Source organism: Homo sapiens, chromosome 3, assembly GCF_000001405.40.
Source record: "Homo sapiens chromosome 3, GRCh38.p14 Primary Assembly".
NCBI lineage: Eukaryota > Metazoa > Chordata > Mammalia > Primates > Hominidae > Homo > Homo sapiens.
In genome coordinates, this window is record NC_000003.12 from 129,969,029 (window position 1) to 129,984,607 (window position 15,579).

Below are 15,579 nucleotides of genomic sequence, written 5' to 3' on the forward strand. Positions count from 1 at the left end.
AGTTGGCTGAGCAGAGAGAGACAGAACCTGAGAGGAGAGAGTGAATAGAATAGGGGGTAAACTAAGGCAGGAGAGTATCACAAAGGAGCAACTGTACACTTATAATTCACCAGGCAACCAGATGGATGATCTGAAAGAATAAATCAAGGTTGGGCATGGGGGCTCATACCTGTAATCCCAACACTTTGGGAAGTCGAGGCAGAAGGATCACTTAAGCTCAGGAGTTTGAGACTGGCCTGAGCAACACAGTTTATTTTTGTCTCTACAAAAATAAAAACTAATTAGCCGGGCTTGGTGGTGCACACCTGTGGTCCCAGGTACTTGGGAGGCTGAGGTGGGAGAATCACTTGAGCCCAGGAGGTTGAGGCTGCAACCTGGGCAATAGAGCAAGACCCCATCTCAGAAAAAAAAAAAAAAAGAAATCAGATTGGATCTCTCCCCTCCTTTAAATCTTCTAGTTTCCCATTGCCTTGAGAATAAAATCCAAACTTCTTATTCTGCACAGCCAGCAAGGTTCCCATGAGGTCTGATCCCATCCATCTTTCTCTTGCATCTCCCTCTGCCGTACTGCGTGCCCAGGCCTAGAACCATGCCGGAGACCTAAGCACACACTGGAAATATTTGTTGAATAAAGAAATCAGTGAATGAAATGAGAACTGAAAAGTATTTCTGGTGGATTTAGCACCAACAGTTATTGTTCAATTTGGTAAAAAATCTCCAGTGGAAAAGGTAAGGGGGAATCTGGATTAGAGAGATTTCCACATGGAATTTCTATGGATAAAAGGCAGAAAGAGTCAATAAATGGACTCTTCTTCCTGGAATTCCTGAGATAATTTTTGTGATCCTGGGGAAGAGAAGATCTTCATTATTTTGACAACAAAAGCAGAATATAAAGGAAAGAATTGAATATATAACAATAACTACATAACTATAATTAAAAAGCCACCATACAGGCTATACACAAAACTACACGTGATAAAGTTACATAGAACTAACTATACACACACACACACACACACACACACACAAAAGTAAAACTGAGGGAACCTGAGTAAGATCAGTGGCTTCTGTCAATGTCACTGTGCAGGTTGTGACATTGTACCATTAGGAGGAGCTGGGTGAACTGTACCCATGATCTCTTGGTGTTATTTCTTACCACTGCATGCAAATCTACAATGGTCTCAAAATTAAAAGTTTAAATTAGGCCAGGCGCAGTGGCTCACGCCTATAATCCCAGCACTTCGGGAGGCTAAGGCCGGCGGGTCACCTGAGGTCAGGAGTTTAAGCCCAGCCTGGCCAATATAGTGAAACCCTGTCTTTACTAAAAATACAAAAAAAAATTAGCTGCGCATGGTGGTAAAATTACACGCCTGTAATTCTAGCTAGTTGGGAGGCTGAGGCAGGATAATCGCTTGAACCCAGGAGGCGGAGGTTGCAATGAGCCGAGATTGCGCCACTGCACACCAGCCTGGGTGGCAGAGCGAGGCTGTCTCTTAAAAAAAAAAAAAGTTTAAATTAAAAAAACCCACCATAAACAAAATTCAAAAGTAAACTCAGTGAAACTGCTTTAGGCCTGTCTGCAGCTTAGGGTTGTTAAAGACTCTTAACCATCTGCAGGACATCTATGGATAGGAATAGGGAGCAGAGAGGCTTTGAGAGGGAAAAAGAATTCACGGAGGCAGGAATTAGGAAATCAGAGCCTACCTACCCTGAGACTCAATACACCTCCTACAAGGAGTGTCGTGTGTCAGAGTGAGTGTGTGAGTGTGTGTGTCAGTGTGTGAGTTCGTGAGACTGTGTGAGTGTGTGTGTGTGAGACAGTGAATGTATGTATATGAGTGTGTGTGAGTATGTGTGAGTGTATGAGTGTGTGTGTGTGTATGTGTGTATTGTGGGTGGCACTGGGAGTTAGAAATAGTGTACATACTCACCATTAAATTATCCCATTATTCATTTTCAAAAGCATAGCTGTATTAATCTGATAAGCAACTACAGTCTTGAGATTCAAGCCCATTTGCCTTATCAGAGAAAAAAATTGCACGCTAGAAAAATATATGCAACACACTGACTAGATTCTAAGCTCTGTGAGAGAGGGAACAGGGTCCTGACTTCTTGCCCTGCTGGGCCCCTGCTTTAAAGTGTAGGTGTCATTATTATTCAGATATGGCGAGGCCAACAGATCTTCGTTACTTACAGTTCCCAAGAGGAGTGGGCACACCAAGATCTGCAGAGCCATGGGGGAAGCACCGGGGTCAGTCAGGAGGCACAGGGAGTGGGTGAAAACAGGAGAGAAATCCTTTCTTCTGGCTTCCTCAGGGAGGAACGGACGAGACAGTGTGAGCAGGTTTACGATTGGCTAGTTTGGATAATTTCAATGGGCTCTGGGTCATCGGGGCTGTCCCCTAGTTGTCTGGTACGTGGCCCTGAGGTGACTAGGGAGGGGGATAGTGGCCCTGAGTGTGAGAACTCCATAGAGAAGGTGGTGGGGAGAGAAAGCTCTGGATTGGTTGGTTTGCACATGAAAGGGGCGCCCCTAGGAGAGTTGTTTACTTTCTGGGAGGTGGCTAACCCTAGAAGTCTCTCCAAGGTCAGCAAGACCTCAGATGTCAAAGCATCAGAAAAAACACATGGTAAATACAATCCCCAAGGTCCAGAACAGGTCCTGGTACTTAGGAAGGGCTCAGTAAATATTTGTTTAGTGAGGGAGAGAAGAAAGGATGGAAGGGAGGAAGGGAGGGAGGAGGGAAGGAAGGAAGGGAGGGAGGGAGGGAGGGAGTTGGCTTGCTAAGGACACCGCAGAGGCCTCTACCATCCTCTCTGGTTCCATGGGCTGCAGGGGAGCTCTCCTGACTCCTCCCGATCCAACCAGGACCTATCCTCCAAACAGGCCACTCAAATCCCTGATGATAGAAAGGCACCTAATGGGCTCACCAGGGAGCAGTGTTCCAGCCATCTTACCCTTCAGGAGGCAGTTTTGCCATGCATCCATGCTCACCAAGCCTTTGGTGCCTTAGGTGGGATTTCTGTTGTTCTTATTGTTGGGAGTTTTGGTGCTGTTTGTTTGTTTGTGGACAGTAATCCTGCAGAGAGAAAATTCAAACAGGGCTAAGAGCTGACAGTGAAAAGCAAGCCTCTCCACAACCCTCTCTGTCCTCTCTTTCCCTGGCTTCTAGGTTTCCTTCTTCATGGGTCTTGTCTAAGAACATAAGAAGGATATGTGTGGTGGCTCAGGTCTGTAATCCCAGCACTTGGGAGGCCAAGGCTGGAGGATTGCTTGAGGCCAGGAGTCCGAGACTAGCCTGGGCAATATAGTGAAACCCTGTTTTTACAAAACAAAAACAAAAACAAAAATCTAGCCTGGTGTGGTACTGGTGCGTGCCTGTAATCCCAGTGCTTTAGGAGGCTGAGGCAAGAGGATTGCTTGAGCCCAGGAGTTTGAGGCTGCAGTGAGCTAGTGATTGTGCTGCTGCACTCCAACCTGGGCAACAGTGCAAGACCCCATCTCCAAACAATAACAAAACAAAACAAAAAGAACATAAGAGCCTGGCAGCCCATCTTCCTCACACTCCACAAATGGCAGCATCATATACACATAGTTCTCTACTCTGCTTCTGGGAGCTTATTCCACATGAGTGCATATGGAACTGCCTTATTCTTTTAAAGGCTGCATAGTACCCCACAGTTTTAGATGGGTCTTAGTTGACTTAAGTGTCCCCCTCCTGATGGACAGACATCCAGGCTGGTTCCAATTCTGGCTTGTATAAACCATGCTGCACTGAATACCCTGAGGTATACATTCTCATGTATATAGGTGGGAGTATCTGTATTATGAATTCTGAAAAACAGAATTGTCTCATGGAAGGTACATATGTGTTAAATTTTCAGATTGCCACCCAAAAGATTGGATCAATTTATACCCTCGTCATTGTGTACAAAAGACAACAGGTCTATCTGATTTCATCTTAGCTAGGGTGGCATTTCTTCAAATCCTGGAGTCTAGTTGGGAGACCAAGCCTGAGGTTTCATGTTTGCAGTGTCTCCCTCACTGCCTCTGAACTTTTTGAGGGCTGGGGCTGAGCCTCATTCACTTCTAGGCCTTCAGGACCTACCAAGGAGTCTGACACCATAGTGGGTGCTTGTTAAATGTTTAGAGATGGGCCGGGTGTGGCGGCTCATGCCTGTAATCCCAGGACTTTGGGAGGCCAAGGAGGAGGATTGCTAGAGTCTAGGAGTTCGAGACCAGCCTGGGCAGCATAAGAAGACTCCATCTCTACAAGAAATAATAATAAAAAATAGCCATAAAAATTATGGTGCCTGGCTGTAGTCCCAGCTACTTCGGAGGCTGAGGTGGGAGGATCCCTTGAACTGGGGAGGTCAAGGCTACAGTGAGGTCAGATTGCACCACTGCACTCCAGCCTGGGTGACAGAATGAGACCCTGTTTTAAAAAAAAAGTTTCAAGATGGAGGCAGTCCCCAGGGCTAGATGTGGCAGTCCCACATCTGGGACTTTGGGAACTGACTCGGGGGGCAAGCTCCTTGGCACCCATGTGTTTCTCCTCCCTGCTTCCCCTCCCCTCCTTTGCTAGAGTTGGGTGAACTCCAATAGATTCCTGTGCAGGGGCTGCAGACTCGAATGTCCCTCCTCAGTGACAGGGGCAACACATTGGAAGACATTAGGGAGTGGTGGAGACTGTGGTGGCCGAGAGCAGCCAGGCTCAGCTCCACCTGGCTGTTGACAGGAGGAAATGGGGGCCCATTCTTTTTCAAGAGAAGCCATAAATCCAAAATTTTCTAAGTTATCTTGGTTTTAAAATGTTGGTTATTCAGATTTTTTTCAAAACACTGTGGAAGTCAATCAAAATTGTCCATGAACTGGTTGTAGCCTACAGGCCGCCACTTTTGGAATTCTGAAAGCTTTCCTCTGGCTCCTATTACACAGAGGAGAAAACTGAGGCCCAGAGAAACGGAGGCACTAGCCAGGAATGACACAGTTAAGATTAGCACCCTGGAGCCTGCGGGGTGGCTCACGCCTGTAATCCCAGAGACGCAGGAGTCTGAGGCAGGAGGATGACTTGAGCCCAGGAGTTCAAGGCTGCAGTGAGCCGTGATCGCGCCACCGCACTCCAGTCTGGGGGACAAAGCGAGATCCCATCTCTTTAAAAAAAAAAAAAAAAAAAGTAGAGCTCCGCTCCCACTTGCCCCCCATTCTCTCTCTCTCTCTCTTTCTCTCTCTCTCTCTCTTGCTCTACTCTCGCCCGTCTGCGTTCTACATTGGTTCTGCGGCCGTGTCCCTTTCGTGTGTGTCTGCCCTGTGTTTCTCCGTCGTCTCCGTGTGGATCTCGGTCTTTGTCTCGCCCTCTAGCTCTCTCGTGCGCCTGTGTTTAATCGTGCGCTTCTCTCAATCTCTCTGTCCCTCCCTTTGCCCCCTACACGCGTGTTCTCGTCAACAGATCTCCAGAGGTGGTGCAGAAACGACCCCGCGCCGGCGCCCCATCCTGCGGCCAGTGCCTCCGCGCCCCGGCTCCGGTCCCCACCGTCCCCGCCCCAGATTTCCGGAGGAGCAGGCGGGCGGGGTCCCGCGGGGCCGGCTGCCGTCAGCGCCCCTTCCCGGCGGCCGCGACCCCTCCCCGCTGACCTCACTCGAGCCGCCGCCTGGCGCAGATATAAGCGGCGGCCCATCTGAAGAGGGCTCGGCAGGCGCCCGGGGTCCTCAGCGCTGCAGACTCCTGACCTGCCGACTGCGGATCCCGAGTCCCCGGATCCCGGACCCATCCTGTGGAGCCCACTCCTGGCAGGTAACCGCCCCAACCCCTCTCCTTCCGCAGACGGTGTCCGGGAGCACTGGAAAGGGAGCCCTCTCGGCCCGCCCTCACCTTCGGTTCTCTGAGAGCTTCCTGGAGAACAGGGCCGGTGCACAGGCGGGCGCTGTGCTCGCACCCCCGGGTCCTCCCCGAGCGCAGGCCGGGGACCCGACGGGAGGCACGGCGCGGGCACATCGGAGGCTCTCGCTGCTGGGCACTCAGGTCGCCAGAGTCCGCAGCGCGGGGTGGGAGCTCCGCGGCACCCCCTGCCTGGGTGCCGCCGGACAGAGCTGGGTATTCAGGGCGTCGGCCTGAGAACCTGGGAGTTCGAATCCCAATCTCAACGCTAGAAATAGAATTTTAGCGTTGAAGTTAGGATTTTAGCGTTAGAATCAGATTCCTGGCTTAGTCATGAAAGCTTAGCATTAGAAATAGAATCTTAGCTTTGCAAATAGACTTTGAGCTTTAGAACCTGAATCTTAGCGATAGAAATGGGATCTTCGCGTTGGAATGAGGACGTCGGCCACGGAGCTTGGAGTTAGAACGTGGCGATGGGGACCTTTGGGGGAGTCTTGGCGGGGACGCAACCGTTAGCGTCGCGGCTGTGCCTGGCGCTGCAATCTCAATGGTTGCACTCCCGGCGAGGCAGTCCCAGCGTTGGCTTCCCCAGTTCCGCGTCACATTGAAGGGTGGCGGTGGCGCTGGCGATGGGGTTCCTACGGCCTCCTGCCTTGCGCAAGCAGAACTGGGCGCAGGCACTACAGGCACCCGTGGGGGCGAGGACGCCTAGAGGTGACAGGTGTGGACGCAGAGCCGGGGCGAACCCGCCGCTGCTCCCGCCCCTGCACGAGGGGCAGTGGTCCTGCTTCTGGGAGGGCGGTTGAACTGTGCGTGGTTTGTTTCTGGCGGGCGTCGGGGGAGATGGAGCGGGATGTGCTGTGATTCGGTGCGCTCAGGCTCCCTCTGTCCCCTAACCCAGACGCCGCGATGCCCGGCCCTTGGTTGCTGCTCGCTCTGGCTTTGACCCTGAACCTGACCGGTGTCCCCGGCGGCCGTGCTCAGCCAGAGGCGGCCCAGCAGGAGGCAGTGACGGCCGCGGAGCATCCGGGCCTGGATGACTTCCTGCGCCAGGTGGAGCGCCTCCTCTTCCTCCGGGAAAACATCCAGCGGCTGCAAGGGGACCAGGGTGAGCACTCCGGTGAGTGGATGGGGCTGTTGGGGGCTGTGGGGCTAGGCTATTGGGAGAGCCGTGGAAACCTGCCGGCAAAGGGGAGGGGAGGCTTGGTCAGCTAGCCTTCTGCCTTTCGGAAGCTCAGAAACCCTCCCTGGCTGCGCCTAGGCGGGATCTGGAGTTGACCATTCCTCGGGGTCAGATTCCTCCCCTGTCTCAATGCTGGGAATATTTCACAGAGAGCAGGCCCTGGGTGGGGAAGCTTCTGTGTGCTAGGGAGAGAGTTTCTTTGTGTGTGACAGTTTGAATTACTACTGTCTAGGCACTTCTGTGCCAGACACTATTCCAAGCACTTCAAACACCTTATCACACTGTTTGATCTTCCTAACAACCTCTTAGTTAGGTACTGTTATTACGATTTTACACAGAAGAAAACTGAGGCTCCCAGAGATCAATTGAGTCGCTTATGGTCAGACAACTAGGGAGCGCCAGAGCTGGGATTGGAACCCAGAGGCAATGCCTTTGACTATTGTGTGAATGTGTGTATCTGTGAGGCCTGAGGGGCAGGTGCAAGACCATGCCTCTGAGTGGGAGCTGCAGGAAATGTACCCTGCCTGGGAGAAAAGCAGGAGTGGGCACTCAGGCGCCTGCCTATTACATGGGTCAGGGGCCCCTCACTGACCTCTTTCCTTCCCCAGCGTCCCAGATCTTTCAATCTGACTGGCTCTCCAAACGTCAGCATCCAGGCAAAAGAGAGGAGGAGGAGGAAGAGGGAGTTGAAGAAGAGGAAGAGGAAGAAGGGGGGGCTGTGGGACCCCACAAACGGCAGCACCCTGGCCGACGAGAAGATGAGGCTTCATGGTCAGTCGATGTAACCCAGCACAAGCGGCAGCATCCTGGCCGGCGCTCCCCCTGGCTTGCATATGCTGTCCCGAAGCGGCAGCACCCAGGCAGAAGGCTGGCAGATCCCAAGGCTCAAAGGAGCTGGGAAGAAGAGGAGGAGGAGGAAGAGAGAGAGGAAGACCTGATGCCTGAAAAACGCCAGCATCCGGGCAAGAGGGCCCTGGGAGGCCCCTGTGGGCCCCAGGGAGCCTATGGTCAAGCGGGCCTTCTGCTGGGGCTCCTGGATGACCTGAGTAGGAGCCAGGGAGCTGAGGAAAAGCGGCAGCACCCTGGTCGGCGGGCAGCCTGGGTCAGAGAGCCCCTGGAGGAGTGAACCCAGTTTTCCCTGAAGTCGAGTTTGTGGTCTAAGGATGTCTTGAGCCCTGTGTGCCCCACCATTCATGACCTCTGTATTCTCTAGTTAGATCCCTGACCATAAGCCTGAGCCCCTCCCTCCCAGCCCCATATTCACACACATCCCAGCCCCTGGCCTTGCCCTCTTCCTTTAGGCATGTGAGAAAATCAGCCTAGCAGTTTAAACCCCACTTTCCTCCACTTAGCACCATAGGCAAGGGGGCAGATCCCAGAGCCCCTCTCACCCCCCCCACCACAGGCCTGCTCCTTCCTTAGCCTTGGCTAAGATGGTCCTTCTGTGTCTTGCAAAGACTCCCCAAGTGGGACAGGGAGCCCCTGGGAGGGCAGCCAGTGAGGGTGGGGTGGGACTGAAGCGTTGTGTGCAAATCCAGCTTCCATCCCCTCCCCAACCTGGCAGGATTCTCCATGTGTAAACTTCACCCCCAGGACCCAGGATCTTCTCCTTTCTGGGCATCCCTTTGTGGGTGGGCAGAGCCCTGACCCACAGCTGTGTTACTGCTTGGAGAAGCATATGTAGGGGCATACCCTGTGGTGTTGTGCTGTGTCTGGCTGTGGGATAAATGTGTGTGGGAATATTGAAACATCGCCTAGGAATTGTGGTTTGTATATAACCCTCTAAGCCCCTATCCCTTGTCGATGACAGTCATCCTAATGATAATAAAACCTGCATCCAGATAATCACGGAGCTCTGTGGTTGCTGTTCTGTCGCAGCTGGCATGGGATTCTTCTTTCGCATTGAGAGGGATATTTAAAAGGGGATGGGACTAGAGTTCTCAGCTCTGCTGCAGAGGGAATCAGGGACCCTGGGAGGATGACAAGTCCTCTCTACTGTCCCCATTTCAGAACACACTTGGGAGGTGGATGGGGTTCTGGAGCCCATTTGACTCCTGGGGAGACTAAGGCCTGGAGAGAAGGAAGGGCTTGCCCAAAGACACACAGCTGGCTGAGGTGGAGCCATGGGTCTGAGAGGCCAGCTCAGGGATTTGCCTTGAGTTTGCCTGATTTGGGAGGCGGGGGTGGTGGTGAGAGGGGAGGTTTGAGGGGAGGACTAGTCTGGCTCAGGTCTGTAATCTTCATGGTTCTGTTGACAGCTTGTGTCACCAAACAGCCTGTTAATGAACAGGAACAAGGAGGGCAGAGGACCAGGCTGCAGTCAGGAGACACAAACCAGGGGTCTTCTGGGGCTCGGTGCAGGACAGGAGGGAGTGGTGTGAACTAGAGTTAACTGAAGAAGTCATGTGAAGACATTTGAATTCAAAAACTTTAAGAAATGTCATGTGACTCTAATAATAATAACACAAATACACAACACTTTATGTGTCAGACACTGTCCTCAGCACTTTCCGTATATTAATTATTCTAATCCTTGACAGTGCTTCCAGATATTAATATGCCCATTTTACTAATGAGGAAGCCAGGGTACAGCAAAGTTAAGTAACTTGTCTGAGTTGAATTTGGCCCACTCATGGCCAGTTTGCAACCTCTGACTGAAACTAAACCCCCACATCTCCTTAGTCTTAGACTTTGAGTTAGTTAGATGATCCTCTGTTTGGTGGATGGATGGACTTTTCAACTTTGCTACGAACAGCTTTTGGTCACCTTTTGGGGCAGAGGGAGGCAGGAGCAAGAAGGGCGTCCAAGACCCAGCTCCTCTTCCTTTGGAGCTCATGGTTCAGGTGGGGTGGGGAATGGGGAGACTGGAAAATCTAGGGTTGACAAGATGCATTCACACCATTTTCCCCATAATGCTCTTAAAAGCCCTCTGACGTACTGAGCATTTGATGTATGAGAAACCAACACCTCCTCCTTTTCAGATGAGGGAACCAACACAGAGACAAGAGTCCTGCCCCAAGGTCAAGCATGTAGATCGGGCCTTCCCCCTGGGCTTGACTCTCCACACCCCTCAGCTGCCTTCTGGAAGCCTTTAACCACCTCACTGTCACCATCAGGGCAAGTGGGCCCTGGCAAGATTCCCTCTGACCATAGACCGCCTCTGAAGGCAGGCCCTCTAAAGAGAATAGAGGCCGCTCATGGAGTGCTCTCTGGGTGCTCAGTGTTCACACACGCTTTCTCACTGGCTCCTTGTGACTGCCCCGGAGGCCAGGCTGCCATGTCAATTTGCAGTTGAGGAAAGCTGAGTTGCAGCTGAGTGTGGAGAAATTAAGCCCAGGGATACATCCCACCCTCTCCTGCTGTCAAACTTCATTGATTTGTGAGGTGTGGACTCTTCCTCAGAAATGAGACCGTTTGAAGAGTAAGAAGCCCGCTCCCTCCAGCTCTTTAATGTTTTCCCCTTTGCCCCTATGAACGATCATACCCGTGCACTATAATAAAAAGGGTTTGGGCTTTTGCCACAGCCTGGACAAATGCTTTAGACAGTTTGAGTCTCAGTCTTCTCATCTGTAATATGGGCACAATAATCTTGGCAGTCCCATTCCCCTCAGGATTGTTTTAAGATTAACTGAGATCAAATGTATGTGTACAGCTCCTGGCATGGTGCTAGGCACTGAGTTGATTCTTGATAAAAGGCATTTTTAGTTCTAGTGCTCCAGGATAGAAGAGACTTAAAACTGAAATTTGGAGACCAACTGTTCCTCCCTTGTTTCATTCTCCAATCACAAAAGCGAACAAAAACAAAACAAAAAGTTGATGGGGCTTTATTACAAGTCCATGCGAGGCATTAGGGCAAAATGGTGTGCTTGCTGCTCTCCAAACGCCCCTCTCCTCCTCCTCGCCCTTCTCCCCAACACACACACGGCCTCTGCTCTGCCCAGGATGCTGTGCCTGTGATGCTCTCTGTACACTTCTACATTTCCCAGCCTCCCTTGCAGTTGGGGTGGAGTCAAGTGACTAGTCCTGGCCAGTGGGCTGTGAGCAGTAGATGACACTTTCCAGTTTAGGCAGTTAGAGCCAGTGTGCCTCATTCATCTTTTTCTTGCTGTCATGGTGGATGAAAACCCACATGTAGAGATGGCAGAGCACATGATGGATGGATTCTGAGCCCTGGCTTCACTAGATGGAAGTTAGGCACTACTCACGACATCAGACTTTTCATGTGCAAGAAACAAACATGTGTGTGTTAAGTCACAGAGATTTCAATTCTGATAAACACAGATGCCCACTCCATTCTCTTCTCACGGAAATCTTTCCCATCTTTTCCTTCTCACATGTGTCTGCTTTCATCAATGCTGCCTAGATCAGGGCATGGCATGAAGTAGGTGCTCAACAAATATTTGCTGAATAGATGTTGAAAGCTGCAGGTCACTTCTATCTTAGTCCCCCAGCCTGACTTCCAGGGGGTCCCTACCCTTGAGGGGCTTCCATCCAGTGGGGAAACCGACAGGCAAACAGATGATGACAACTTAGTGTGAGGAGTGTGGGGTGTCAACTGAAGAACCATGAGGTTCACAAATTTGGAAAGGAGATTTTTATTTCTTATAAAGGGTTGCAACCTGCAGGAGGCCATTCTGACAGTCTGGGAAGGGCAGCTTCCGGCCAGAAGCCAGAAACACTTCGAGGGAGGGGAAAAGGGAACTGGAATTTATGCCGAGATAGTTAACAGGTTATAGGAGGAGCTGTGATTATTCATGAAGGGGAGGCCTGGACATAGTAGTAGGCTAACACGCATGCAACATACATCTCATGTTCACTTTGGGGTGGAGACAACAGTTAAATGTATTACAGTTAGGCCCTATACATCAAAAGGTGATGCTGAGGACACAAAGGCCTTCTGTGCCCAGCCTTTGTATACTGGCCAGAACCACTCTGTGGTTGGTGGTCTTCTATCAGGAAGGACTGCTTGTCAGTGGCTGTGTCAAAACCACAGAAATGGAGGGGCAGCATTGGGCAGTTGGTTGATGTCAGCATTGGAACGAGTCTTTCAAAAGGGCTGGTCTCTGCTTAACCCTTAGGGAAGAAAGGCTAGTGGTAGTTATGGAGGGAGGGGATGTAACAGGGCAGTCTGACCTCCCATTAGGAAGTCAGTTTTTAAGGTTACCCTGGGGTCTCCTTAACAGAGAGAGTCCATTCAGTCAATTTTGGGGCTTAAGATTTTTTTTTAATTTTCCATGGGGAATAAAGGATGCAAGAAGAACAGAGATGAGAGAGCAACTTGGTCTGGTTGAGGAAAGAAGGCTTCCTGAAAGAGGTAACATCCAAGTAAGTGATAAATAAGAGAAAAAAACATTTAAGGCAGAAGAAAGAAGATCAGCAAAGGGCTTGGTGGGAGACATAACGAATTCTTGGAGTTGCTAACATCTGAAATCTTCTACCCTATCTCCTAGCTCTAAGGGGGCGAGCCGTGTTCCCCATGCTTCCTGGTTCAGGCCATGCTCCACACTGGGACTCCGATTCCCACAGCTTAGAAGCGCGAGAGCAGTGCGGATTGGGGTGGAATGAAGGAAGCCTCCCTGGGGGAAGGGTATTTGAGTTGAGCTTTGAAGGATAAAAGAAAAATAATTTTTTCTTTCTGAACCCTTACTCTGGGGCCAGACATTGGAAAAAACACTTTCGCATCCACTCCCCAGCATACAGTGGGTGATCTGTAAATATATGTTGAATGAATAAATTACTCATCATAGTCATTTCCAGTGTAGAGAAAAGGAAAAAGAGAAATGAGGTGACTTTTCTAAGTTCATTAGCCTGAAACCTTGGAGTTGTCTCTATACCCTCCTTCCCTTATTACCCACATTCAATTCTTTCTATGTCCTGTAGATTACACCTCCTAAACATGTCTCAAGTCCACCTACTTCCTTCCAACTCTTCAGCTACCATCCCGGCCACCATCACCCCTCATCGTGAGATTGCAGAGCCCCCCCTTGCTGGTCTCTGGCTTCTACTCTGGTCTCCCAAACCTACTCTCCACACAGGAGCCAGAGGGACCTTTCTGAAGTACAAATCTGATCACAGCACCCAGCGTGCTTGGAGCCCACCAGTGGCTTCCATTTCACCTAGGAGAAAAATCCAACCTCCTGACCATAGCCAAGTGGCCTGCTCAATTTGCCTCCTTTTTGTTTCCTGAACATGCCTCAGGGTCTTTGTGCTGTTATTCCCTCTTTTCTCCTCATTATTTCTGCTTTACCTCCTAGTGTGTCTTCCTGTACTGTGGAGGTTGGAAAGCAGAAACTACATTTGTAGCTCCCGTGCAGCTAGATTTTTTTTTTTTTTGGATGCACAGTAAGTTCTCCACGTGGATGCTGTCATGTGAGATTTAGAAGGCTCTTTGACGATTCGTGCTGGAAAGCAAGATGATGGTGACGGGTGGTGTTTCTGCGGTAGTTTCCCAGTGTCCAACCCCCAGCTTTGGGGTTTCTAGGGTCCTCAATGGCAGCTTCCCGTCCAGTTTCACAGCTACAGGGTGTGTTCTTTTTTTCTTTTTAAACAACTTTGTTGGGCTACATATGCATACACACACACGTGCACACACACACACGTGCACACACACACACACTAACAGCTTTACTGAGATATGTGACATACTGTACAATTCGCCCATCTAAAGTGTACAATTCAATCATTTTTAGTAAATTCTCAGATTGTGCAACCATCACTACAATCAATTTGAAAATATTTTATTCACCCCCAAAAGAAACCCTGTACACTTTAGCTATCTCTCCCCCAATCTTCCCACGTCCTCCCTCAGCCCGACAACTAGTCGATTTTCTTTCTCTATGAATTTGCTTGTTGTGTACATTTCATAAAAATTGAATTATATAATATATGACCTTTGTGTCTGGTTTCACTTAGTATAATTTTTGTTTTGTTTTTTGAGACGGAGTCTTGCTCTGTCGCCCAGGCTGGAGTGCAGTGGTGCAATCTTGGCTCACTGCAACCTCCGCCTCCCAGGCTCAAACGATTCTCCTGCCTCAGCCTCCCGGGCAGCTGTGATTATAGGCACGTGCCACCACGCCCGGCTAAGTTTTGTATTTTTAGTAGAGGTAGGGTTTCACCATGTTGGTCAGGCTGGTCTCGAACTCCTAACCTTGTGATCTGCCCGCCTCAGCCTCCCAAAGTGCTGGGATTACAGGTGTGAGCCACCGCACCTGGCCTAGTGATTTCTTTAGTAATCTTACCAAGGGGTACCATAAATGAGTTTTAGAATATTAATAATCCTGATGGTGGCCTCCAGATTTCTCACCTTCCTGATTGGAAACAGAGAAAACAGCGTTCTGCAAGCCTACTCTCTAAGCCCGGCAACAATTTTATAAGCACCTAATTCCAGAGCAATATTCAAAACATTCATCAGCCGGTCCAAGACAGGCATTAGCCAATCAGTACATGTGCCCCAGCTGGATGGACAGATTCTGGCTTGACATACCTGTGAAGCCATAGCAGCAGTGCAAGGAGCTGACAGCCAGCCCTGCTGGGTCAACCCTTCCTGCCTCCTGTTAATGTTCCTAAAACGGTTTCTGTTTGCTGTGCTGCATCCTGACGATCTACATTAGATAATGCCTATGCTTCCTTAGCTGTCATTTCAGACAACACCTTGTCAGAATGCGGCCCGGCATCCCTCTCCTTGCTTGCAGCTATCACAGTTTGTAATTACATCTGTCTCAGGCTGAGTTTCCCAGCACCACACTCTGAGACAAAGATTTGAGTGTCAGTAGTTTACTTGGAGAGTGAGCCCAGGTCTGGGAGCGAGGGAGTGATTCAGGGACGGGAAGGGCATGATGTGGAGTGCATTCGCGAGCCAGTTATTGCTGTGGGCAGCTGGGGCTCCATCCTGTTAGGGGTCCTTGGGAGATTGTAGAACAGGCCTCAGAGCTATCCCACTTGATTAGATAAGGAAGCTGGATATTTTTGTCTTCCAGTTCCCATGGATGGGGGTTGAGAGGTTCAAAATTCCAGCTTGCCCTCTGTGCCAACCTCGAGAATGCCCTTAGGTGAAGAATCTCAGGATACCATTGGCATTCACCTCAAAGGTGAGAGCTGAGGGGTTGAGTGAGGTTCCCACAGCATCTGCTGCAGGCTTCAACAGCGTCTGTTGCAGTCTTCTTGGGTGGCATTTCATCAATGGCTCCTCCCTCATCAAACTCTAGGCTCCACATACTCCTGCAGGACCAGCACCTGGGACAGCGCCTGGCACAGAGCAAGTGCTCAGTAAACATCTGCCAAATGCAAAGGAAGGCTGCATGAATGAAGGTAGAGCTGGGATTTGAGACCAGGCTTGCCAGATTCTAGGGCCCTAGAGGGAGATGGTGGGGCAAACCAAATACTGTGGGGTGCTGTGCAGTTAGTATAACCTGGGAAGCCAGCTCCAAGGATGGCTGCCAAGCTGAGAGCTCATGTGCAACCCAATGTAACATCTGTCCAAGTACCCTACCTTTTAAAACACCTTGGAAGACATCAAAT

General features: G+C 50.3%; 1 protein-coding gene and 1 pseudogene across 1 annotated transcript; one reads left to right on the forward strand and one right to left on the reverse strand.

Annotated features, from left to right (window-relative positions):
* Window positions 1–224: 224 nt before the first annotated feature.
* Window positions 225–15,579, reverse strand: part of LOC124906284 (collagen alpha-1(III) chain-like) — a 34,271-nt pseudogene continuing 18,916 nt past the window's right edge.
* Window positions 5,692–8,907, forward strand: TRH (thyrotropin releasing hormone). Its single transcript, NM_007117.5, has 3 exons — window positions 5,692–5,795; window positions 6,781–6,999; window positions 7,671–8,907. Exons 2-3 carry the CDS (start codon window positions 6,789–6,791, stop codon window positions 8,186–8,188), a joined length of 729 nt encoding a protein of 242 aa, NP_009048.1. The 5' UTR covers window positions 5,692–5,795; window positions 6,781–6,788; the 3' UTR covers window positions 8,189–8,907.